Source organism: Homo sapiens, chromosome 12 (assembly GCF_000001405.40).
Source record: "Homo sapiens chromosome 12, GRCh38.p14 Primary Assembly".
In the NCBI taxonomy this organism is placed as follows: Eukaryota; Metazoa; Chordata; class Mammalia; order Primates; family Hominidae; genus Homo; species Homo sapiens.
This window is the reverse complement of record NC_000012.12, coordinates 24991604-25018703: the sequence shown is the minus strand read 5'-3', so window position 1 is coordinate 25018703 and position 27100 is coordinate 24991604. Positions and strand designations below refer to the sequence as shown.

At 39.5% G+C, this 27100-nt stretch overlaps 1 protein-coding gene and 1 long non-coding RNA gene across 2 annotated transcripts in view, besides 2 other annotated features; one reads left to right on the top strand and one right to left on the bottom strand.

Annotated features, from left to right (window-relative positions):
• IRAG2 (inositol 1,4,5-triphosphate receptor associated 2) overlaps window positions 1-21129 on the bottom strand; it is a 110761-nt gene extending 89632 nt beyond the window's left edge. The window contains exons 1-7 of the mRNA NM_001394803.1: window positions 21086-21129; window positions 13789-14396; window positions 13350-13463; window positions 7153-7333; window positions 3443-3522; window positions 3276-3354; window positions 1412-1570 (exon numbers count right to left, since the gene is read on the bottom strand). Coding sequence (NP_001381732.1) covers window positions 1412-1570; window positions 3276-3354; window positions 3443-3522; window positions 7153-7333; window positions 13350-13463; window positions 13789-14362 — 1187 coding nt within the window. The 5' untranslated portion in view covers window positions 14363-14396; window positions 21086-21129. The remainder of the gene's footprint in view (window positions 1-1411; window positions 1571-3275; window positions 3355-3442; window positions 3523-7152; window positions 7334-13349; window positions 13464-13788; window positions 14397-21085) is intronic.
• Window positions 20191-20300: an enhancer, noted in NCBI's record as "active region_6112". NCBI's record gives its function as "activates an Ori minimal core promoter by ATAC-STARR-seq in GM12878 lymphoblastoid cells {active_cell/tissue: GM12878}" and the evidence as "EXISTENCE:reporter gene assay evidence [ECO:0000049][PMID:35858748]".
• Window positions 20551-20680: an enhancer, noted in NCBI's record as "active region_6111". NCBI's record gives its function as "activates an Ori minimal core promoter by ATAC-STARR-seq in GM12878 lymphoblastoid cells {active_cell/tissue: GM12878}" and the evidence as "EXISTENCE:reporter gene assay evidence [ECO:0000049][PMID:35858748]".
• A 109-nt stretch (window positions 21130-21238) lies between the features above and the next one.
• LINC02909 (long intergenic non-protein coding RNA 2909) lies at window positions 21239-25280 on the top strand. The gene is made up of 4 exons (NR_171024.1): window positions 21239-21472; window positions 22365-22507; window positions 22637-22897; window positions 24377-25280. It is a non-coding gene; the product is annotated as a long intergenic non-protein coding RNA 2909 (long non-coding RNA).
• The last annotated feature ends 1820 nt before the right edge of the window (window positions 25281-27100 follow it).

Below are 27100 nucleotides of genomic sequence, written 5' to 3'. Positions count from 1 at the left end.
AAATCCTGACCAACATATTCATCCAAAGCAGTTTTGTTAAAGAAACTTTGAATTTTTATATTTCAGTTAAATAATAAATAAGCCAATTGTGAAATGAAGAGGACTTGAGGTAAGCAATTTTTTTAAAGATTAGTTTGGAGACTGGACTGGACAAGGTCAAAGATTTTGAGGATGAGAATGCTTTAGTGAAACATATGACTGGGCACAGTGGCTCCCCCTCCTGTAATCCCAGCACTTTGGGAGGATGAGGTGAGCAGATTGCTTGAGACCAGGCATTGTAGACCAACCTGGGCAACATGGCAAGACCTTGTCTCTACAAAAACACAAAAATTAGTCAGGCATGGTGGCATGCACCAGTAGTCCCAGCTACTTGAGGGGTGGGGGGTGAGGCCAGAAGATCACTTGAGCCTAGGAGACGGAGGTTGCATGCAGTGAGCTGAGATCGTGCCGCTGCACTACAGCCTGGGTGTCAAAGTGACACCCTGTCTCCAAAAAAAAAAAAAAAAAAAAGAAGAAAGAAAGAAACATTTCCACTCAAAAACTCCTGCACAAATGTTCATGGCAGCATTATTCCTAATAGCCAAAGAGTGGAAACACTCCAAATGTCCATCATCTGAAGAATGGATAAACAAAATCTGATATATCTATGCAACTGAATATTATTCAGCCAAAAAGAAATGAGGTAGAAATACACGCTACAACATGGATGAACCTTAAAAACATTATGCTAAGTGAAATAAGCTACACACCAAAGTTCACATATTGTATGATTCCATTTATATGTAATGCCCAGAATAGGCTAATCTACAGAGACAGAAAGTAGAATAGAGGTTTCCAGGGTCTAAGAAGAGAGGAAATGGAGCATGCCTGCTGGTAAGTATGGAGTTTCTTTTTGGAGTGGTGAAAATATCCTGGAATTGGATAATGGTGATAATTGCACAACCTTGAGAATATACTCAAGTTTTTTTTTTGTTGGTTTTTTTTTTGAGACAGAGTCTTGCTCTATCACCTAAGCTGGAATGCAGTGGCACGATCTTGGCTTACTGCAACTTCTGCCTCCCAGATTCAAGCGATTTTCTTGCCTCAGCCTGCAGAATAGCTGGAATTACAGGCTCGTGCCACCATGCCCAGCTAATGTTTGTATTTTCAGTAGGGATGGAGTTTCACCATGTTGGCCAGGCTGGTCTCAAACTTTTGATCTCAAGTGATTCACTTGCCTTGGTCTCCCAAAGTGCTGGGATTACAGGCATGAGTCACCATGCCCAGCCAGAGAATATACTCTAAAAACACTGAATTGTATACTTTAAGAGAATGAATTTTATGCTGTGTGACTCTCAATATTTAAAAGGTTTTTTAAAAAAAGAAAAAAGAAATGAAAGTTCCCCGCACACTGGACCCCACTGTGGCTCACCTTTTTACCTGAAGGCGCAATTCGGTACAGTCCTCTGATAACTGGCTGTTAGTTTCTTCCAGGGTTTCTAAAGCCAACTTAAACTTATTATTTTCTTCCTCAAGTTTTCTTTTGTTGAAATGAAGGTCTGCTACGTAGGCAATCAAATCAGACACCTCTCTGCAAGTAAAAGAATAGATGAGAATAACCTTCACATCACTAATTCCTTCTAATAAAATAAGGTATACGGTTAAACAAACCAAACTTTGATATTCTGGTGAGTTTTTTTTTTTTTAACTTTACCCTCATCTGTCATCATAAACATAATTAATGTATATAATAAATAGCTATTCAGATTTTATTACAATAGCATCAAAGATGTTTCCCAAAATTTCCAAGTAGCCATCATTTGCCAGATGTAAAATCAACTTCTACAGTTTTTGTTGATTCTTTTCCCCTTCACTCTCAACATTTGTCTTCTAAACGAAGAGTTCCTATTTCTGCCTGGAATATGAGAGATCCTGAAATAAATGGACACAATATTCTTTTTTTTTTTTTCATTTTTTGAGACAGAGTCTTGCTCTGTCGCCCAAGATGGAGTGCAGTGGCACGATCCTCCGCCTCCCAAATTCAAGCAATTCTCCTGCCTCAGCCTCCAGAGTAGCTGGGACTACAGGCATGCACCACCATGCCCAGCTAATTTTTGTACTTTTAGTAGAGATGGGGTTTCACCATGTTGGCCAGGCTGGTCTTGAACTCCTGATCTCAAGTGATCTGCCCGCTTCAGCCTCCCAAAGTGCTGGGATTACAGGCATGAGCCTCTGTGCCCAGCCTATATTCTTTCAGCGAAGGGATCTCGGCAGGTTTACCTAGGAAACAGTTCCTAGAGTCTTATCATTGTAGTCTGAAGCTCACAATTCAGTACTCATCTTTCCTAATGTTTTGTATAACTTGTCAATGTTTATGAGCATCATTTGCCATGATATCAGTTCACAAATCCTTTAAGATTCTGGACTGTGTGTTTCATGGAGCCCCAGGTCTCTTTTTCTTTTTTGCTATCTTATCCCGGGGCTCAGGTTGAGAACATAGTTCCCACTCCACTTTTCTTTTTTTTTTTTGAGATGGAGTCTCGCTCTGTCGCCCAGGCTAGAGCACAATGGCACGATATCAGCTCACTGCAATCTCCACCTTCCGGGTTCAAGCCATTCTCGTGTCTCAGCCTCCCAAGTAGCTGGGATTATGGGCACGTGCCACCATGCCCGGCTAATTTTTGTATTTTTGGTAGAGACAGCATTTCACCATGTGGGCCAGGCTGGTCTCAAACTTCTGACTTCAAGTGATCCATCCGCCTCGGCCTCCCCAAGTGCTGGGATTACAGGCGTGAGGCACCGCGCCCAGCCCACACCACTTTTCTTTACGGATAAACCTGAAGTGGCAAAGATAAAATAAAGCAGAGGCAGAATCACTCTCCTTAATACCCAAAACTTACACATGTCGTGGAAAACAGCTTTTCTCATTCATGCCTAAAAGATTCTACTAAAGAAGTGCTTTAAAATAATTTCCAAAAGAGTGTAAGGTCAATATCATAACCCTACTTCAGGTGGAACTTTTCCCTACAGAAAGCACAGGAAATTAATGAGGGAGAAGGGTTTCATGAGAGAGCAAGTGATTTTGGATTACTAGTCATACGAGAATTTGTGTTCCTAGTGAAACTGTTTCTAATGCAGGCATTATTAGAATCAGTGAAGAATTTAAAATCAGTTATGCTAGCTCTACTGCAAAAAAAGAGCAAAGTGACTTCATTGTAACTGAAATACGTAGATTTATGAAATAAACAAGAAAAATGAAGTTGAAACACTTGCGAAAGCAGAGTAAGAAGGCTTACAAGACTCCTTTAGATGTTTCTCCTCCCAAAGCCTCGAAGCTCCCCAATGTAGAATCTGTTATATCTGTGCTCATCTTCACTGAAACACATACAAGAGTTTTATGAAAAAAAATCATTTTCTACAAACCGTAAGAAAACAGAACAATCCTGAAGAAACACATACATACTTGTTCCATCTGATTTTATGCCATCCTGTTCACAAACAGAATCATCGATGATGCTGCTTAATCTATGATTCACTCCTTCCCTGTAGCCAAAAAAAAAAAAAAAAAACAAAACCAGTGAGCTAGGATTCTTTGCCTGACCAAGTTTTGTCTTTTTTTTTTTTTTTTTTTTTTTTCAGATTTATGCTCTGTACTTTCCTTTTTAGGTAATTCCTTCTGAGTTAAAAAAATATATATTCATTCAACAACTATTTGGAGCTCAATACTATGCTAGGTACTTAGAGTGATAGAAAATAGTCTGTGTTCCTAGTGAAACTGTTTCTAATGTAGGTGGTACATTAGGCATTACCTCCACCATCCATACACTTTTACCTAATATGAAAAAGAAAACTCACAGGCAGCGTATGATTAGGAGATGTGGGGTCTCGGTGGATTAGGAAATAGACATAGGTTGGACTGGTAAGTGGAGACTTGTGGAGGTTGCAAGATCATGGGGCTTAAGAGATTGAGAAGGAAATACACGAACAATGAATACTTTGGGATACATTGACAGGGATACATTTTCCCTTTCTCATGGAGAATCAAATAGAACCTCGACTAATTTTACTTTGGGCATTTTACTTCTGGAATCTGGGAAACCCTCTGTACAGGCTGTGTAGCACACACACTCTAGCTTGAACTGCAAAATAAACATATTAACATTTCAACCATTTCCTTTCAGAGTCCTATATTATAATTTAAGTTTTGTTACTTAACCTAAGCACCAAATCCTCAAGCTTCTCTCTGGAATAGCCACAAAATTCAACAAATATATGTTTACATCTCATTGTTTGTCATTGTGAGATGTCTGTCACAAGTTGGGGGAATGAAAGAACTCACACAGAGTTCTGACTATTCTCGTGTTCACACCTATCCCCATTTCTGAGTTTCTGCTCTTATCTTCTGTATTTCTAGCGCCCATGATTTTTCCTTTACACTTGTTATAAAAATGTTTTTTCTTTTGTCTTCATGCTGTTTTATAATTATTAATATTTTTATTATACAAACATATATTTTGGAAATATTAAATTCTTAAGAAAACAAAAAATTAGGCCGGGCCTGGTGGCTCACGCCTGTAATCCCAGCACTTTGGGAGGCAGAGGAGGGCAGATCACGAGGTCAGGAGATCGAGACCATCCTGGCTAACACGGTGAAACCCCGTCTCTACTAAAAAATATAAAAAATTAGCTGGGCATGGTGGCAGGAGCCTGTAGTCCCAGCTACTCGGGAGGCTGAGGCAGGAGAATGGCATGAACCCTGGAGGCGGAGCTTGCAGTGAGCCGAGATTGCGCCACTGCACTCCAGCCTGGGCAACAGAGCGAGACTCTGTCTCAAAAAAAAAAAAAAAAAAAAAAAAAAGAAAAAGAAAACAAAAAATTAAAACCATTATGCAAAAATAATCGTTTTGGCATAAATTCTTTCTAATATTTTCCTATGCATATTTTTATTTCTTCCAAAAATGGGATTATACTACATGAATAGATCTATGACCTATTTATTTGAAGTAATTACATATTAATTTCTCTTATCAAATATTATTACTTTAAATGACTAGTATTTTAGTGTATGGAAGCACTATAATTTGTCCAATTGTCTCTTTTTAAATATCTAGATTGCTTGTATTTATCACTGTCATAAACTACCTTCTACCTTCTATATTAGCATTTACAATTAATTATCTTTCTTATCTTTCTTAAAGTTACATTACTTCTCAAAGAGCCTGCCTTTTGTCTTTTGTTTTTGTTTTGGAGACAGGGCCTTGCTCTCTTGCCCAGGCTGAAGTGTAGTGGCTCTGTCACAGCTTACTGCAGCCTCAAACTCCTGGGCTCAAGCAATCCTCCTGCTTCAGCCTCACAAGTAGCCTGGACTACAGGCGCATGCCACCACTCCTGGCTAATTTTAAAATTTTTTTGTAGAGACAGAATCTTGCTAAGTTGCCCAGACTGGTCTCAAACTCCTGGCCTCAGGTGATGCTCCCGCCTTGGCCTTCCAAAGTGCTGGGATTACAGGCACGAGCCACCACCCCCGGCCAAGACTGCATATTTTTAAGGGCCTGATACACATTCCTAAATTGCTCTTAAAAAAGCTATGCTAACTTGCACTACTACCAATAATATATGGGAGGGCTTATTTCTCCACCCTTTTCACAGTCCACCACATGGGCTAGAGTCATTTTTTAAAAATCTTTGTTAAACTCATGGGTAGAAATGTTATATCTGTATTTGCAGTTTTTGATTACACTAACATTACTTATTTCTATATATTTATCTTGACTTCATGAATAACCTGTGTATGGCATGCAACATTTCAGTCATATTTTCTTAAGTTATCTATACATCCTAATCCTACCAGAAATCTGGTAAGTTTTTCCGTTCCTTGGGCTTGACATTTTCTCTCTTTTTGAGACGGAGTCTCTGTTGCCTAGGCTAGAGTGCTATGGCACGATCTCGGCTCACTTCAACCTCCACCTCCCAGGTTCAAGCAATTCTCCCGCCTCAGCTTCCCACGTGATTGGGATCACAGGCGTGAACCACCACGCCCAGCTAATTTTTGTATTTTTAGTAGAGACAGGGTTTCACCACGTTGGCCTGGCTGGTCTCCAACTGCCAACCTCAGCTGTTCCACCTGCCTCAGCCTCCCAAAATGCTGGGATTACAGGTGTGAGCCATCGCGCCCTGTCAACATTTTCTTTAAGCAAATCCTAGCATGCATCAGCAGATAGCTGAAGATTGGTGGCTGAATAGGAGGCATAGGAATTAGGTTTCTTGGCTAGGTGCAGTGGGTGGCTCACACCTGTAATCCCAGCACTTTGGGAGGCCGAGGTGGGCAGATCAGCTGAGATCAGGAGTTCGAGACCAGCCTGGACAACATGGTGAAACCCCTTCTCTACTAAAAATACAAGCATTAGCCGGGCATGGTGGCACACACCTGTGATTCCAGCTACTCTGGAGGGTGTGGCGGGAGAATTGCTTGAACCCGGGAGGCAGCGGTTGCAGTGAGCAGAGATTGCATCACTGTATTCCAGCCTGGGCAACAGAGTGAAACTCCGTCTCAGAAAAAAAAAAAAAAAAAAAAAAAAAAGGGAATTCGCTTTCTGTGGAAGAAGACACACATCTCCAGCATCTGCCAAGGGCACCTGAGATCATGGGGTGCCCTTCTCCTCCTTTACCTTTTTCTTTTTCCTATTCTACTATTCTTTCTTGTTCCCCTTAGCCTCCCTATATTCTAGGATTCCAAATTACATTCACTGACTAGCCCCACTGCCCTTAAAAGGGAGTCTATTATTGAATTTAAATACATTTGGAGATTTGATAGTATCAATAATTCACCTGACTCGTATGTCAGCTCAATTCTCTGTGAGAGTATCACATGTGCTCCCCACTAATCACAAGAAATGAATGACAGCAGTGGTTCCCAAAGCATGTCCAGCCCACTCCCAGCATCAATATCATCGGAAACTTGTTAGAATGTAAATTATCAGGCTTCACCCCAGATCTGCTGAATCATGATGGTGGGACCCCAGCAATCAGGTTTAACATCATTCAGGTGATTCTAATGCATGCTAAAGCACTGGACAATAGTATTTCCATCAACACAGGAAACAGTGATTAGCATAATTATAATCAGTTGTTAAAATAGAACCTTAAACTGCATCCCACTAGGACTCTGATTACCATGTGTTTCCACAGTAAGCCATCCAGTCTTTCATCATGGCCTGGAAAGTTTCCAGGTCCACATGTGGGTCTCTCTTCTCAGGATCAAGCATGTTCCACAACTGCTCAAGGCCACTGTCTTCAGAATTTTGGCTAGTTGTTTGTCTCAGGAAATTGATTATTTTGGCCACTCCGACTGAGCCTTTGGAAAAAGAAGAGCAGATCAGTTCTGAAAGACAGAAAAGTTATATTTTTCACAAGTGAAGCACCTATCTCTTTAATGTTTCCTGATCCTAGAAACATGATATATAACCCTGGCAGTCCTGCGGAGCTGGCATGGTATATTGTAAAGAACACTGGCCTTGGGCTAAAGTCTAATGGACCTAGTGTCAAATCTTGGCTCTGAAGATTACCAGCTGTGTAGCTTTGGGAATATTAACCTCTCTGAACCTGTTTCTTTATCTGAGATGGGGACGATGATACCTATCACACAGAGTTGCGAGGTTTAAATATTGATGATATATGTAATCAATAATTTCTCATGGGAGGTGACCAAAATGACATTACATTTTTTCCTTTCAGTTCCTTGAAAAGCCTTCAATGAAGGAAGTTTTTTTCTCTACTTTAGTTAAAATTTCAATCTCAAGTGAAAATTTCTACTTTTTAGGGGGTGGAGGAGGCATTTTTAGACAGTCATCCCTACTATCACATTCAGAAAAGAAAATCATCCAAACTATGTTAGTCATTGACACACCAATCTTTTTTAAACATAAGACTTTTCTTTTACTCCCATCAAAGGCCTGCCTTGGGCTGGCTACTTGCAAAGGAGAGGGAAAAATTAAGTAGAAGTTTGAGAGGGCAGATGCCACAGAGAAGGTTCTTCCCTTAAGGAAATAAGGATAGACCATGACATCAGAAAAAAAAAAGTCTCTTAATTAGAAGGAGGAGATACTCATAAAGGAGGCTGAATAACTTCAAAGTTTTTAATAACTTTAACATTATTTAAACTTAACATGTCATTTAGATGTGACACTATTAGAAAGAGAAATAAAATGACTAATACAGTTATTTAGAGAGAGAACTGTTTTTTTTTTTTGTTTGTTTTTTGACACAGGGTCTTGCTATGTTGCTCAGCTGGAATGCTCCTGGTTCACTGCAACCTCAATCTCTTGGGCTTAAGCAATCCTCCCACCTCAGCCTCCCTAGTAGCTGGGACTACAGGCATGTGCCACCACACCCAGCTAATTTTTGTATTTTTTGTACAGATGGGATTCCACCATGTTGCCCAGGCTGGTCTTGAACTTCTGGACTTAAGGGATCCACCTGCCTGGGCCTCCCAAAGTGCTGAGATTACAGGTGTGAGTCACTGTACCCAGCAGAGAATTGCATTATTTTATTTGTAGAAGAACTGGAAAGCAAGCTGGAAAGCCAGCAATAATCATTTATCATATTTTCCTCCACTGAAACTCTAAGCCCTCTGTCATATCAAAACTAGAAAGGCCTCCTGTAATGGTTAATTTCATGTATCAATGGGTACCTACATATTTGGTTATACATTATTTTGGGTCTCTCTCTGAGGGTATTTTTGGATGATATTAACATTTAAATCTATAGACCAAGTAAAGCAGATTGTCCATCTAGTGCAGGTGGGCCTCATCCAACCAGTTGAAGGCCTGAATAGAACAAACAAGCTGACCTTCTCCCAGGTAACAGAGAATCTCTCCTGCCTGCCTTCCTTCCAACTGGGACATTGATTTTTTTTTTTTTCCTGCTTCTAGACTTGAATTGAAATGTTGGCTCTTCCTTGCTTCAAGCCTGCTGGCTTTTGGATGGGAACTGCACCAGCAGCTCTCCTGGTTCTTAGGCCTGTGGACTTGGAATGGGACCAAACTGTTGGATCTACTGAATCCCTGGCTTGCTGACATCCTGCAGATCTTGGGACTTGCCCGCCTCCATGATCGCATGACCCAATTCCTTATAATAAGTCTCTTTAGCTAGCTAGATTAAATTGACAGATACAAATATAAATATCTCTTCCCACCAGAGAGCCCTGGCTAATACACATCCCATTTCCCATCAGTGAAGCTTTCTTATTTTCTTCAGAGAATTACTTTCTTAAATCCTGTCCAAGCAGAGAAGCTCTCTGGGAACAAATAAGCCCCACTCATCCTAAGGAAATAAATAAGGGTACATGCAAATATTTTGCTACAAGTGTTCAATACAGTGATTTTATATGTAAAATATTTATTATAGTTTTGGGATTTTTTGAGACAGAGTCTCACTCTGTTGCCCAGGCTAGAATGCATTGGCATGATCATAGCTCATTGCAGCCTCAGCCTCCTTGGCTCAAGGCATCCTCCCACCTCAGCCTCCTGAGTAGCTGGGATTACAGGCGTGTGCCACCATGCCTAGCTAATTTTTAAAATATTTTTTGTAGAGACAGGGTCTTGCTAGGTTGTCCAGGCTGGTCTTGAACTCCTGGCCTCAAGTGATCTTCCCACCTTGGTTTCCAAAATTGCTGGGATTACAGGCATGAGCTACCATGTCTGGCATATTATAATTTTTAAAGCAGAAAAAATTAATATCCAATTGACATGGATTGGTTAAACATGTTACATCAAAAATGGTATAGCATATGAAGAAAATTTTTTGATGCAGACAGGTACTCAAATTATTAAATGAGAAAAAGCAGATTATAAAACAAGTTTGAAAACATTCTCACACATACTAGAGAATACATTAGTATATCACTTTTTTAAAAAAAAGGATGACCAAGAAAACACCTTACACTATCTTTAGCAATTATGTTGCTCAGCTAATTTTTCTTTTATTTTGAGATGGAGTTTCGCTTTGTCTCCCAGGCTGGAGTGCAGTGGCACCATCTCAGCTTACTGCAGCCTCCAACTCCTGAGTTCAAACGCTTCTTGTGCCTCAGCCTCCCTAGTAGCTGGGATTACAAGTGTGTGCCACCACGCCTGGGTAATTTTTATATTTTTAGTAGAGGTGGGGTTTCACCATGTTGGCTAGGCTGGTCTCAAATTCCTGGCTTCAAGTGATCTGCCCACCTCAGCCTCCCAAAGTGCTGGGATTACAGGCTTGAAGCACTGCACTCCGCCTAAATTTTTCTATTTTTAGTGGAGACATGGTTTCACTATGTTTCCCAGGGTAGTCTCAAACTCCTGGGCTCAAGCAGAGCCTCCACCTTGGCCTCCTAAAGTGCTGGGATTACAGGTATGAGCCACCCCACCCAGCCCCAATTTAGTATTTTCAAAACTGGTAGGTAAAGAGAATCAATCAAGCTTTTATCCTGCCTCTCTCCTTCAGGACACCAGTATAGCAAAATAGTTCATAACGCGGAATAGAGTTTCTCATTATAGATGTATTTCAGGTGATACATTAGGAAGGAATGATAGAATATTACCATTTGCAACATCTAATGAAAATATAGGTCTAGGCCTTCATCATCAATAGTTGCCTTCTGTTGAAAACACATAACACCATCTATGTATTTAGGTTGATGCAAAAGTAGTTGTGGTTTTTGCCATTACTCTCAATGGTTAAAAACTGCAGTCACATTTGTACCAACCTATTAGAATTCTTGCCCCCATAAAATAAAAAAAAATAAAATAAAAACCCTCAAACTTTTATCTGATCATATTTCTAAACATAGGAGACAGAGAAACAGCTTGTGTTCCTACAGATACACAATCACCAAATTTCAGATTGTGGTAAACTGTGAAATAAAAGAATGGGCTGGGTGCAGTGGCTCACACCTGTAATCCCAACACTTTGGGAAGCCGAGGTGAGTGGATCACCTGAGGTCAGGAGTTCGAGACTAGCCTGGCCAACATGGTGAAACCCCATTTCTACTAAAAATACAAAAATTAGCTGGGTGTAGTGGTGGGCGCCTGTAATCCCAGCTACTTGAGAGGCTGAGGCAGGAGAATCACTTGAACCCGGGTGGCAGAGGTTGCAGTGAGCCAAGATCACACCACTGCACTCCGGCCTAGGTGACAAGAGTGAGACTCTGTCTCAATCAATCAATGGATGGGTTTCTTTAACAGACAACAAAATGCAAAAAACAGATGGAAAGCGAAACACAGAGATAAGACAGACAACAAACTGCAATGAATAAACATTTCTTGGATATTGGCTTGAACAGTAAAACTGTTTAAGAAAAAAAGGATATGTATCTATCACACAAATGAGAAATTTTGACTACTAACAAGACATTTGATAATATTAGAAAAGTATATTACTTTTAAAATCATGATAATGGCATTGTAGTTGTGTTTTAAATTAGTCAATTATCTTTTAGAAATATGTACTGAAATATTTGTGGATGAAATACTATGATCTCTGCGATTTGCCTCAAAATAATCCAGAGTAGAGGAGAGGAAAATGAGCAGGGTTAGAAATGAGACATAATTGGTTATGACAAATACATAAGGATTCATCATAGAATTCTACCTCTGTATATGTTTGAAATGTTCTATAACAAACAATTATGAATTCAAATAAAACAAAACCATATTGACAGGAATTGTGGAAAGATATACAACAAGTCACTAACAATGGTTACTCAGGGAAACAGGATTACCAATTTTTTTTCCTTCTTTTCGCTTGTCAGTATATTATTAATTTTATTACAAATGAGCATGAATCATTTATATACTTAAAATTACTTGTGGAATTTTTTTTTCTCTCAACTTTTAGGTTCAGGGGGTGTATGTGCAGGTTTGCTACATGAGTAAATTGCGTGTTGCTGAGGTTTAGTGTACAAATGATCCCATCACCCACGTACTGAGCATAATATGTGACTGGTAGTTTTTCAGCCCATGCCTCCCTGCTCAAGTAGTCCCCATACCTATTGTTCCCATCTTTGTTTCCATGTATATACAATGTCTAACTCCCACTTAAAATTGAGAACATGCAGTGTTTGGTTTTCTGTTCCTGCATTAGTTCGCTTAGGATAATAGCCTCCAGCTGCATCCATGTTGCAGCAAAGGACATGATCTTGTTTGTTTTTTTGGCTGCATAGTATTCCATGGTGTGTAGGTACCACATTTTATTTATCCAGTCTTCTGTTCATGGTCATTTGGGTTGATTCCATGTCTTTTCTACTGTGAACAGTGCTGTGATGAACATATAAGTGCATATGTCTTTCAGGTAGAATGATTTACATTCCTTTGGGTACATACCCAGTGGACAGATTGCTGGCTCAAATGGTAGCTCTAAATTCTTTGAGGAATCTCCACACTGCTGTCCACAGTGGCTGAACTAATTTATATTCCCACCAGCAATGTGTAAGTGTTCTCTTTTCTCGATAACCTCACCGACATCTGTTGGTTTTTGACTTTTTAATAGTACCCATTCTGACTGGTGTGAGATGGTATCTCATTGCAGTTTTGATTTGCATTTCTCTAATAATTAGTAATGATGAGTATTTTTTCATATATTTGTTGGCTGCATGTATGTCTTCTTTTGAGAAGTGTCTGTTCATGTCCTTTGCCCACTTTTTAATGAGGTTATTTTTTGTTTGTTGAATTGTTTAAGTTTCTTACAGAGTCTGGATGTTAGACTTTTGTCACATGCATGGTTGTGAATATCTTCTACCTCTCTGTAGATTGTTTATTTACTCTATTGACAGTTTCTTTTGCTGTGCAGAGGTTAATTAGGTCCCGCTTGTCAATTTTTGTTTTGTTGCAATTGCTTTTGGGAACTTATTAATAAATTATTTGCCAAGGCCAATGTCCAGAATGGTATTTCCTAGGGTTTTTGTAGTTTTAGGTCTGGAAATTTTTTAAAAAACACATCTCAAAAATAAAAATTAAAGAAAAACAGAAGTGAAAGCCCAAAATTAACTAAAATTTTGTATAGTGGTTTTACATATTTGAAAAGCATATTTCCTGTGGGGCGCCACCTACGACATGTAAGTAGTTTCAATAAATAAAGATGGTAAGTCAGCTGATAAGCTCAAAAAGAATCATTCAAGTCACTGTTAAAATATGCTGATGCAAAACAGGTACAGGGAAATTATAACGAAATAACCAAGCCCTACAGAGCAAACCTTATTCCCAAATTAGGTGGCATCCATCACATATGTAGACGCAGACAATGAGACCCACACACAAATCATTTCCCTTTCTCTCACAATAGAAAGTTCAGATGACTTGGACAGTCCTACCAAATGTTTAAACAGATAATTTTTAGCTTACCTTTCCGTTTGATGTCACATGCATTAAAAATACTTGTGAGTGCCTCTTCTTTACAGGCCCTGTTGATGCTGTATATTACATCTTCTTTACCATCATCAGCTTCTTGTTTCCATCCTATTAGAAGAAAAAGTTTGTAAATCCTGATGCTTTCTGTGCTATAATGATTAATTTTCCTTTTTTTTTTTTGGTTTAACAAAGAAAACCTATCATAATAAACAGCCTTCCCCTTAGATATAGGGAAATATTCCCCTATATCTAAGTATTCCCATCATGACGTTCTGTTTTGTTCTGGAAACAAACATAGTTAAAACAGAAAGGGAAAGATGGATGATTCCATCCAAACTTTAATAATGTAGATTTTTTTTTAGTTCAGGTATTCTAAAAGTAGATATGTTTATTGCTCTATTGGAAGGACAAACATTAAAAGATGAATATTTACCATCTTCATTCAGAGATAATTTTTTTACCACTGAATCCTGAGGATCAAAACACTTCAAGCTTTGAACAAAGGTGGAATCAAAGTCAAGTGTTAAGGTACTAAAATTATTTTCACTACAATAGTTATTCAAATCCTTGTTAGAGAAAAACTCTGCTTTTCTGATCTGTGACATCAAAGATGTATAATTCTTGTTGCTCTGTGACTTCGGCTTTGAGACGTTTTCAGAACTTGTGAGAATAACAGAGTATGTTGCAGTCTCAGGGGAGCTGAGGTGAGAGGTGGATGGGGTTCTTGGAGATATTATTTGAGGCGATGAAATGAAGGCATCGACTTCCTCAGAACTTGACCAATGAGAGCCGGGCGTAGGAACACAAGCAGCAGTCATTTTCCTCAGTACCTCTTCAAAATATTTCTTGGTGTTCGTCTGTGGGCTATCAAAACTGCTAGATTGGTATTTGATAATCTGCTGAATTGGATTTGAAATTGCTTCTCTCTTGTGGATGGCTCTGATCTTTCTACAGATGCTTTCCACTGGGTTATGCCGCTTCTCAGTTACCTTCCTTGGAGAGGCCATTGTTGACTTTCCTCCTAGTATACAGATGAAGTGGCTAAAGTATAGGCAAAAGTAGATACATGTTTAAAAGTCAGTATTTTCCTAACAATAATTTAGCAATAGGCAATTTATTCCCAAATCAACTTTGGCGGGATCATGACAAGATGCTCAGTTTCTCTAAGCAAATTTTCCATGCATTTAACTTTGGCCCTCAAATTTCAGGAAAATAACAGCTAACATGTATAAAGTATTTATCAAGTGCCAGGCATGGTACTAAGCTCTTCACACCCATCAACTCATTTCATCCTTAAAACAACTCTTTGAGATAAACGTTACTGCTTTCTCCATTCTCTGACAGAAAGAGAATAAGCAACACACCCCAATAAATGCCACAGCTCAGATTCTAACGCAGGCAGTCCAGCTCCAGAGGCTAGATAACCACATTGCTTTTTATTTATAATAGGGCAGGTGACAATGATGCTAACATCTCTCATTTGAATACCTACCATTGGTATTGTACTGGTTGCCCTCTATTCAGAACTTAACTAAATATGCCCCATATTAGGTGTTTTATGTGTATTATGTCTAAATTTCACATAAACCCTATCAGCTGTGTGGAAATATCCTCCTTTTATAGATAAGGAAACTAAGAATCAAAGAGGCCAAGTAATTTGCTAATGGTCCCATCTCTAAGATTTGAGTCAAAGAATGTCTGACTCCAGCATAGTTTTATTGCGTAGCAAGATATATGACCTTTAAAAAAAAAGGCATAATCTCACTTCTTATAGTAATTCAGAAATTTGGAAATACATTCAAAATTTTACCTAAACTAGTAAGATTTAAAATAATCTAGGCTGGGTGTGGTGGTGCGTGCCTGTAGTTCCAGCTACTCAGGAGGTGGGGGTGGGAGGGTCACTTGAGTATGGGAGGGCTTCAGTGAGCCATGAAGGTGTCACCACAGGTACTCCAGCCTGGGCAACAGAGGGATGGATGGACAGATTAGATTAGATTAGATTAGACAGATATTTTTTAAATACTCTAGGCAAAAGGTTAAAATAGTTTCAATAGTTACAACAAATAGTTGAATAGTTATGGAATTACTGATTTCAAAAACTATGATTTTTTAGGACATTAACAGAAATTTCCATGAATCTTTTTTTTAATCCCCTAATAGAGAATGAACAATAATACAGAAATTTTAAATGTACTATAATTGGAAGGGGTATCTAGAATTACTGGGAAGAAGAAAATACTCAAAATCCTCTGAATCTTACTTGATCTTCAATATGAGGACCACCAGTTCTAGCCAGTGCAGTTTCCACCAACAGAATCCTTTACCACTTAAGGTAATGACCATCTCTCAACCTTTACATTGTTTCCTGACAATACCCTTCTTTCCCTCTATTCAAGAATGATCTCTTGGCTGGGCATGGTGGCTCACGCCTGTAATCCCAACACTTTGGGAGGCTAAGGTGAGTGAATCACCTGAGGTCAGGAGTTCCAGACCAGCTTGGCCAACATGGTGAAACCCTATCTCTACTAAAAATACAAAAATTAGCTGGGCATGGTGGCAGGCGACTGTAATCCCAGCTACTTGGGAGGCTGAGGCAGGAGAATCGCTTCAACATTGGAGGCAGAGGTTGCAGTGAGCTGAGATCATGCTACGGCACTCTAGCCGGGGGGACAGAGCAAGACTCTGTCCAAAAAAAAAAAGAAAAGAAGAAGAAGAAGAAGAATGATCTCTCAACGTGAAGTCTAAAATACACTCCTCTCTTGAAATTCTAGAATCAGTTTTTAATCATGGGACTCCATTCTTTCTGATCTCTCCTAGGATTTATAATTGTAACACACATTTTGTCATTTAATTCAATGTTGTCTTCTATTCTTGGATTGTTTCCAATGTGTGTGCATGCCTTCTCCTCAAAAATACTTTTTAATTCTTGTACTCAAAACTATGATGTGATTTTTTCTAGATACTCAATACATTATTGTTGGCACAACTGATAATCTACAATTATATATAAAGTATATAATTAGTGGGCTTATGGACTTATCCCCCAGCTGCTGTGATTGTTGGCTCCCAACTACTTTTCAGGATCACCTTTTCTGGAGAAATTCCCACCTTGAATAAATAAGAGCTGCTCAGTTGCTCCAGGGGGAAGGTAGAAGTGCAGTAGCAGTAATGACAGAAGAGGCTTCACCCTTGAACACAAAGCATTCCAAATCTACAGTTGACTGACTTGGCAGGAACACATCTGACTTCCCTATGTCGAGCAAAGAGCCTTATAAAACAGTAGTTAAGGCCGGGCACGATGGCCTGTAATCCCAGCACTTTGGGGGCTGAGGCGGGTGGATCACGAGGTCAGGAGTTCGAGACCAGCCTGACCAACATGATGAAACCCCGTCTCTACTAAAAATACAAAAATTAGCAGGGCATGGTTGGTACATGCCTGTAATCCCAGCTACTCAGGAGGCTGAGGCAGGAGAATTGCTTGAACCCAGGAGGCAGAGGTTGCAGTGAGCTGAGATCGTGCCACTGTACTCCAGCCTGGGTGACAGAGCGAGACTCTGTCTCAAAAAAAAAAAAAAAAACCAAAAGAGTAGTTAAGTATCTGTCATTGTTCTCAATGTGAGTTGACCGTTTCTCCCTTATAGAACCAGAGAATTTAGGCACAGGTTGGACATGAGGCTAAAAGAGACCCCAGAACTGGAAACTCATGCTCCCAAATCCTGTCCCCTCCTGTCACTGAATGATGATGTGGTAGGCTGTTCAAGCCATAACAAACAGTCTCACTTTGTAGGCATTTGTAACTGACCTAGATTAATGTTCCTAGCACATAAGGCACATGTTTCTACTTGCATTTCCAAGGCATTTTTTTTCCTTTAACCATCTGTTTTCATTTGTTTATTTATTTTCGAGACAGGGTCTTGGTCTGTTACCCAGGCTGGAGTGCAGTGGTGCACTCATGGCTCATTGCAACCTCCAACTCCCCAGGCTCAAGCAATCCTCCTACCTAAGCCTCTCAAGTAGCTGGGACCACAGGCGTGCACCATCACACTTAGCATTTTTTTTTAATTTTTTTTGTACTTTTAGTAGAGACAGGGTTTCACCATGTTTCCCAGGCTTTCTTCTACTGTCTTCTAAACTTTCCTGACTTACCTAAGTGAGCCCTGCTTTGTGGTTGATAAGCTAAACCTTATAAAGAGTGCACTGAAAACAATGGCTCTTCATGAGCTACCAAAGCTGCATAAGATTAACTTGTTTTGCTTTTTCTAATATAGAGCAGAACATGGGTGGGAGTTTAATAAATAAGATGGGGTGATAAAGATTTCAAAATTTGTGTCATCTTCTCCATATGCAGCTTGGAAATATCTCCTGTCTCTTCTGTCTAAACCTCTTAACGTCTTTTTTAATTTTCGATCCTGGTAGAAAGGATTAGCTGCAATCTGCCAGAATACTTAAAAATACAAGCCCAACTTGCTTTGTACAGTAACTGCCTTTGAAAAGGCATTAAGTGAAAATTAAGAACTGAAAGTGAATTGTACTAGGAGAATCAGTTGCTTGGAGTCTATCTCTTTTAAAAGGAATTTCCCTCTTAGCGATCTTAGTTGATTATTTACTACATAAAGATGGTACACTTGTAGATAACCCAATGGCAAGAACTGCTTCTTTTGCTTTCAAGTTCTATGAACCTCAGTTGCATTTTCCATGGTTTTTAAAATTATTTTTAATTTTGTAGAGACTGGGTCTCTGTTACCCAGGCTGTAGAGCCGTGGCTATTCACAGGTGTGATCATAGCACATTGCGGCCTCAAACTCCTAGGTTCAAGTGATCCTCCTGCCTCAGCCTCCCAAGTAGCTGGGATTACCACACCTGGCTCAGTTTGTATACTTTTAATTAAAATACATTTTTTTTTGATATGGTGCCCCCTCTGTCACCCAGGCTGGAGTGCAGTGGCACAATCTCGGCTCACTGGAACCTCCACCTCCCAGGCTCAGGTGATCCTCCCACCTCAGCTTCCTCAATAGCTAGGATCACAGGCACATGCCACTATGCCCAGCTAATCTTTTGTATTTTTGGTAGAGATGGGGTTTCCCCATGTTGCCCAGGCTGGTCACAAACTCCTGAGCTAAAGTAATCCACCCAACACAGCCTCCCAAAGTGCTGGAATTACTGGTGTGAGCCAATGTATCTAATATATTAAAGTAGTTTTAATATCCATCCCTTTAGACAGCCAACCAATATTTATTGAATTTCTGCTAAGTGCTAAGCCCTGTGCAAATACTGGGGATACAATGATGAAGAAAACAATATCCTGAAACTCGTAGTCTGTGGAAGATACAGCTATGAACAAGTAAGCCACTAGAGCTATTAGGTTAAATTTAGGAAGCCCAATAAAATTTTAATCTCAGATAAACAATGACTAATTTTTTAGTGTAAGTATGCCCCCAAATGTTGCACAGGACATAGTTATACTGGAAAATTATTTGTTGTTTATTTGAAATTCAAATTTCACTGGCTGTCTTGTATTTTTTTTTTTTTTAGCTAAATCTGACAACCTGAAAAATGTCAAATAAATAATTACATAGTCAGGAGCCATGAGAACCTATAATAGGAAATTATCCCAGCTTGGGAGTGAGGCTAGGAAAAATTTAGGAGCATCTATTATGTGGCTATTATATGCACTGCACAGAATGTTATACATATTGTTTGCTATTTCTAGGGTTATAAACAGAAAATTAAGAAGTGGAACTATAAATCTGTTAGAGGAATTTCCACTTGGATTCATGTGAGCTAAATGTAATGTAAAATGATGTTAGAGATTATCGATACTGCTTATGTTGCTAATCTTTTTTATTCCTCCTATTGATTGAACTATGCTTCATTGCTCTGGCTTATAGATTCTGAGTCCCATTATTATTATTGCCTCAATTATCTTGTTCCATACAGTCAAAGCTCTTGAATCAACACTTTTCAACCATCTGCCCGATCCAAAACTATAAAGCAACAAGTAAAATCCTCTAACACATGGCAACATCTGTAAAACAAGTCCGATTTGATTCTTACCTAAAGTTATTCGTTATATATTTGATTTTCACCACCAGTGTAACTGCAGACTTCAACATCAACCTCTAAGACATCCATACTCTTTGGGACTTATAGAAATCTACATTTGTTCTGACTTCAATGAGTTAATCTACTACGTATGTACAATGTAGACAATATTTCTTATTCTTTAGGAATGTATATGTAAACAACATGACATAATTTGTGTTTATCAACATCTATATTATTCAATCACTAAGAAAGTTGCATTTTATTGCAAAGAATGGCATATGATGTATACAGAGGTACAAAAGCAGCATCCTGGAAAAAGCTGGCAGATTTCAGGGTGATTCAAAAGGCTCTGTAGAAATCTTTCTGAATCAAATTCTAACTCCAAACAGATTAACAATGTAATTATCTTTCCTGTTTTTTTCCTTTAAAATGTTTTCCTCCCTTTACTAAAGTTATTTATTGAGCATTGAACTTCCAAACCTTAGATCAGGCAGGCTGATTTTTAAAATCATTCAAAACTTGATTAGGAAAGCCAGTCAATCATTCATGATTCATCTATGTGAGATCCTATTGGTAATTAATGCAAAATCCTTAATATACGTAAAAAAAAAAATTTAAGTATGTGTGTAGATAGACAAGAGATTCCTTTTGCCAAAACAACCCTTCACTAATGATTAGATGCCACTAAACTCTTCATCAAAACCTAAGAAGAAACATCTGTTCACTGAGACATTCCCAGGAAACCCATCTTTAGTGAGCTCAGTGGGAGGGCAGAGCATGGTTTTCTGCTTAACCAGTGAATTTTATATCTGCCAAATTAAACTGTTTTCATTCTCTTTGTGACTACTATTTTATGTGATAAAATAATAACACTTCTTCCTGCCGTTTCTAGGATAGATGATAGCAGCTGTTAATCACATGATTTGCAAACCACAAGTACCAGATTTAGTAAATGCTCAGCAAGTCTGTCATCCGCAACCTTTCTGATTATTAATAAATGCAAGCTGGTATAGGCTAGAAACTTTCCTCCCACAATTCAGTTAACCTTGTTATATTAAGCTTCTTGGCTGGGTCACACCAAGCTTACTATAAACATCTCTTATTGGAACAATTCCTAAAATAGCAGAGTGACACATGCTTCTGAAAACTGTTCTTCTGTCTCACTTCTTGTTATATGAAGTCTGGTTTTCTTCTCAGAGAACAAGAGAAGACCTACAATAAATCTCTAGCTTCAAGAATTCAGGTGCCTCCAAGGTTCTTACAGTCTATAAAACTACATCACTGCGTTTCACTAACACACATTCCAAACGACCAAGCCTGAAAATGGCAGGATTAATTTAAATTTCCAAAAGCTCCATTGAAAACAATTTGAGATTTGCCTGTGGTGACAGCAACATATCTGGGGAATCTCACTTTATCACTCTCAGCTACCCATCTTTTTTCCCTATTTGTAGAGTGTTTTTCTTTTCAGATTTGTTTCAAGTTTTCAATGAACTCTGTTGAACCTCTAATATAGACTTATTGGAGGTTTGTCCCTTTTGCCACAAGCATTTTGAGGTTGAGACACAACAGAACAGCCTACATCTGATATTGCTTTTCCCTGGTTAGGGCGGTACTTTCTCGGCCTTCGATGACTAAAGGCCAGCATCAGCCAAAATTTAATTATTTCGTTGGGGAAAACTCACCACCTTATTTTCGCTTGACTTCGCCAGTGCTCCAAGAACCATCTGAGAACTGGGAAGAAAGAGTGGAGACCTACAGGTCAGATGACATGGGTGGAGCCCATTTCTACAGAGTGGCTTGGGCTGAGGTAAAAGAAGCTAGAGAAGAGAGCCGCTGATGCACTGCACCTGCCTAGGCTGGAGTTAAGGTACTAATCACAGCAGCAGTGCTGGGAAAGATGCCTAGGAAGGATGAGGATGACAGGCACTATTTTGGTGTGCTCCCCACCACAGCAATAACAGAAAGATAGTCCAGGTGCAGTGTCTTTCACCTGTAATCCCAGCACTTTGGGAGGCTGAGGTGGGAGGATCGCTTGAGCCCAGGAGTTCAAGACCAGCCTGGGCAACATGGTGAGACCCCCCCCCACCCCCGGTCCCCGCCCGGCTCTACAAAAAACAACACACTAAAGCTCATCCTGATTATACTTTCTAATCAGATGAAGGAAAATTATTTTTAAGTTAAATCTCATACTTTTTCTTTTGTTTTTTGGAAATGGAGTGTTGCTTTGTTGCCCAAGCTTGAGTGCAGTGGCACGATCTCAGCTCACTTCAATCTCTGCCTACTGGGCTCAAGCCACTCCCCCACCTCAGCCTGCCAAGTAACTGAAATGACAGGGGCATGCCACCACAGCCAGCTAATTTTTGTATCTTTTGTAGAGATGGGGTTTTGTTGTGTTGCCCAGGCTGGTCTCAAACTCCTGAGCTCAAGCGATCTACCTGCCTCAGTCTCCCAAGGTGCTGGGATTACAGGTGTGAGCCATTGCGCTCAGCCTGGTCATTATCATTTCTATCACCAGGTGAGAGCAAAGGGGAGTCAAATACTGGGGAATAAGAACTGGGGCTCTGAGTTTAAATAACCTGAGTTCAAACCCCAGTTCTGCTGCTTACTAGCTTTGTGATCTTGGACAAATTATTTAACCATATGTGCTTCAGTTTCTTCATCTGTAAAATTGCATCAATATCATGCAATGACCTCCGGGTGTGCTGCAGGGATTAAATGAGGTTAATACGCAGATGGCCCTCAGAACCATGTAGCACATTCTGAGCTCTCAGTAATGTTGTTATGATGCACTTTCTGAAACTCCTTTAACTTATCCAATACTAGAGGTCCTCTTAAAGCACCAAATAGCACCTAGAAAGAAATGACCAAGTAACCCGCTCCTCTCATTAGATTTGCTGTTTAATTTCCCATGAAATAACCTATTATAACATCCATGCTTGCGATCTGCTTATCAATCCACAGATACCGAAACTGGCAACACCCAGAGACATTTCCCTCCTAGTCATAAAGGAAGCCAGCAGCAGAGCCAGAAATAATATTCAAATTCTGGATCCACTAGACCATATTGCCCGTCTGACAAATTATACGCTTACATCCTGCTTCAGGTGAGTCTAGTATACCTGATGTTTCTCAGAGCAGTGAAAGGAATAACCTGAACAATAAATTCCAACGAACCTGTAATGAATTGCATTAACATGTTATTTCATTATTTATGTAATATTACCTCCTGACAGTTCTAATAAGGTACCCACAATGCCGGGTTCTCTACCCACTGGGAGCAAACAAGGGAACGTGCAGACGCTGGACAGCATACGATGGATGCCTGCAACTCCTGTACCTGCCCCCGAATGCCACCAGAAATATGCCATCTCTACTGAAACAGCTTTTCCAACCCTGAGCACGTTTATGAACACGGAAAAGAGTGTAAAGGGGTCAAATGCAGACTTTACAAAAAGAAACCCAAGATGGAGATTCCTGTTCGGGATATACTGCAGGTGGGGTTCATAACAACATAGTCCTTTACTTGCCAAGTAATCTGAAAGCAACTAATTAGAGAACCTGTAAGGGATGCCAATCCCAGTTTTCAAAATGGCATTTCAAGGAAATTAAATCTTATCATGTAAATAGGTCAAGAAATCCGTTTAAATAACGTATCTGCTTCTCTCTAGGTAATCTACAATGTTGTTAGACTATCAAGCCAGTAGTTTTAAATATGTGTTGGAGCTCCAGGATTAATCCCTGGTTGATCTGAGGGAGTCACTTTGTCTAACCAAATACAAATGAGGTGGGAGGTGTATGGTTGAGAGGCACTATTAGAAGAAAGGGGCCAGGTGCAGTGGCTCATGCCTGTAATCCCAGGACTTTGAGAGGCCCAGGCAGGTGGATTGTTTGATCCCATGAGTTTGAGACCAACCTGGGCAACATAGAGAAACCCTATCTCTACCAAAAATACAAAATTAGCCAGGCAGGGTGGCGCATGCCTATAAACTCAGCTACTCAGGAGGCTGAGGCAGGAGAATCACTTGAATCCAGAAGGTGGAGGTTGCAGTGAGCCAAGCCATTGCACACCAGTCTGGGCAAAGAGTGAAACTCTGTCTCAAATAAAATAAAATAAAATAAAATAAAATAGTAAATCTGCTGACCTTCCCTCCACTATTGTCCTGTGACCCTGCCAAATCCCCCTCTGCGAGAAACACCCAAGAATGATCAATAAAAAATAAAAATAAAAAATAAATAAATAAATAAAATAAAATAGTAAAAAATAAATTAGCCAGGCATGGTGGCACGCACCTGTAGTCCCGCTGCTTGGGAGGCTGAAGTGGGAGGATCAAGCTTGAGTCTGGGAAGTCGAGGCTGCAGTTAGCCAGTAGAGATTGCACCACTGCACTCCAGCCTGGGTGACAGAGCAACACCCTGTCTCAAAAACAACAATAATAAAAACAAACAAAGGAAAGAAAAGAAGAAAACCAGATAATGGACTCCTTCTCCAGTACATGCATGGCCAAACATAACTTTTATTTTTCAAAACCCACTCTATGTAAAATGCACTATTTATTTCTCATAATATACTCTTTAATGTGCTTATATTCTAGGTATCATTGCCTTTAAGTTGCTTTTTTAAATGAAGTATCATTATTATTATTATTTGAGACAGATTCTGGCTCTGTTGCTCAAGCTGGAGTGCAGTGGTGTGATCTTGGCTCACTGCAACCTCTGCCTCCCTGGTTCAGGCAATTCTCATGCCTCAGCCTCCCAAGTAAGTGGGACTACAGGCGTGCGCCAACATGCCCAGCTAATTTTTGTATTTTTAGTAGAGACAGAATTTCACTATGTTGTCCAGGCTGGTCTCTAACTCCTCAAGTGATCTGCCTGCCTCGGCCTCCCAAAGTGCCTGTGCCCAGCCTTTTAATTGGACTTTAATGTGCAAATGCAGTCTCTTCAGAAAGCCTTTTTTTCTTCTTTTTTTAAATCAGCCTACATCATGCTATGACAATTTTCATATAAAGATGCTGTCTCGGAAAGAAAAGGATTGGGAGTTTGAATGATCTATGGCTTCCATTCCAAAAAGGATTACTACAGAAGTAATTACTTTGAAAGAAAAGTGATAATATGTTTTTGGAGAAAGGTGGAAATGAAGCAAGGCCCTGAATATATTACCAAGATGCATATTACACTGAATGAAATCATCCGTTGCCCTTCCGGATCTATCCCGTGGATGCAGAGCAAGAGCAACCCATCTTTGTTCAGCATCCCAGGAGACAGGCCTCTATTGACAGCATCAGTCTGGCTCCTTTGCCCTCTGATTTCCCATTGAATGTGGCCAGTGGGAGGGCCCAGCAGATGGAGGGCCAGGAGGAGGAAGAGTCTGCAGCATTTGTTCTCCTGGCTCCCACCCTGCCAGGTCTCTGTCTGACAGTGGCTCACGCTTTTCCACAGCCCCTGTCAGGTGGCCTCTCCCAAAGTGACAGTGTTCACTTGGTTCTGTAAGTGTTTTCTCCATTGCCTCTTGCCAGGGAGGGTAATGGCTTCCTAGAGCCAGATGCCAGCACCTGAGGTTGCCCACCACCCCATGCTGTTTCCCTTAACCCTGCCTACACTTTCAAGAATTGAAACTCTTTGCAGCCTCCTTTTTTTTTTTTTTAAAAAAAGGTACTATCGATTTCCTAAAGGACCGTGAGTGATATACACTCAGAGATTCTTTTGTCATGTTACTTTCCGTAGCTCAATATGGCTGTTATCCACATTATACAAAGAACATAATACCTACCTTAAATTTTTAATATTTTGTCTTTATTCTTCAACTCTGTGTAGCATTTCCTTCTGGTTAAGAACATGCAGATAATCCAAATAAACAGATTTGACTAAAAGAAAAAAAAACTCTACTAACTTTCATATAAATTTTTTTTTTGAGAGAGAGAGAAAGGAAGTCTCACTCTGTCACCCAGGCTATAGGGCAGTGGTGCAATCACAGCTCACTGCAGCCTTGACCTCCTGGGTTCAAGCCCGATCCTCCCACCTCAGCCTCCCGAGTAGCTGGAACTACAGCCATGCTACACCTAGCTAATTTTTGTATTTTTAGTAGAGACAGGGTTTCACCCTGTTGCCCAGGCTGGTCTCAAACTCCTAAGCTCAAGAGTCTACCTGCCTTGGCCTCCCAAAATGTTGAGATTACAGTTGTGAGCCACTAAACCTGGCTAGTTTTAAAAGTTTGCTAGCTGATGCCAAATTGGTTTCCATAGAGGTTGTACCAATTTACAGTCTCACCAACAATCTGTGAGCCTGCTTGTTTCCCCACACCCTCACGAACACAATATGTTGGTCTTTGCCAATCTGATAGGTGAAATATAGCATCTCATTATTTTAATATGCATTTCTCAAGAGGCATGGTGACTCACACCTGTAATCCCAGCATTTAGGGAGGCAGAGGCAGGAGGATAGCTTGAGTTCAAGACCTGCCTGGGTGATATAGTGAGACCCCCCCCCCATTCTCCACAAAAAGGAAAAAAAAAAAGACCAAAAAACAGTGTAATTTGTGATTTCTTTCCTTATGAATATGGTTTCATGTGTTTAAAGCCATTTGTATTTCCATTTCTATGTTTTATTTGTATGCTTTGGTCATTTTTGAATGGGGCTTGATTTTATCAATACACAAAAGCTCTTTACATATTACAAGATTTAGTTCTTTGTAGGATGTGTTACAAATACATTTTCACCAGGTGTTATTTGTGTTTTTTGTTTATGGTGTTTTTGCCACACAGATTTTTAAAAATGTGCAGTCAAATTTCAATCTTCTTTCTTATACCTTCTGAGTTCGTGTTAGCCTTAGAAAGCTTTCGTGACTCAAAAATCATAAAGACATTCTCCTCTGTTTTTCTCTAGTGTCTTTGATTTAATATATTTGGAATTTATCTTTGTATAGAGAGATGAAACTATACCTTCATTATTTTTCAGATGGCTACCCAATTTTCCCTAAGAAATTACCCTACAAATATACTTGCACATATTTACAAAGATAAATGTAAAAATACACTAATTTACTAATGTTTGGAAAGGCAAAATATTTAAAATAACCTTACCATCTATCAACAGAGGACTGGTTACATAAATTTCTGTTTATTTACACACTGGAATAAAATATAGCTGTTTAAAAGAAAGATGTTCTATAAGTACTGATATGGAATCCCAAAATTATGGGCTTGTTTATAAATCAACCCTAAGCTGAAGAATAGCACTTATAGCATTTCTGATTTAAAATACAAAACAAAACAAAAAACACATACAATACAAACACAAAACATAACAGACATACACATAAATACAGAAGAAACTGGAGACAATGATAACCTTGGAAGAGAAAATTGAGGAACTAGAGGACTGGGATAGAAGAAAGAGTTAATTATTTCTGTACATTTTTGTACCATATTCATGTACAGTATCATCTATTTAAATTCACAAATAAAGGCAAGAAAAATATAGATTTTTAAAACTGAAGGTATTATGTTTATGTTTGGGTGGCTGATTCATTATCACATAATACAGATTTGTAAGATAATGTCATTTACAGTATTGAAGCCTGCCTGTTAGTTCAGCGAAACACGCTTTATACGTGTGAAAATATGGATAAGTAGCACCCTCTGCTGGTAAGTAGTTGGAAGTCATTAATAAACCTACCTATGATTTATCTTATTCTCAATGTT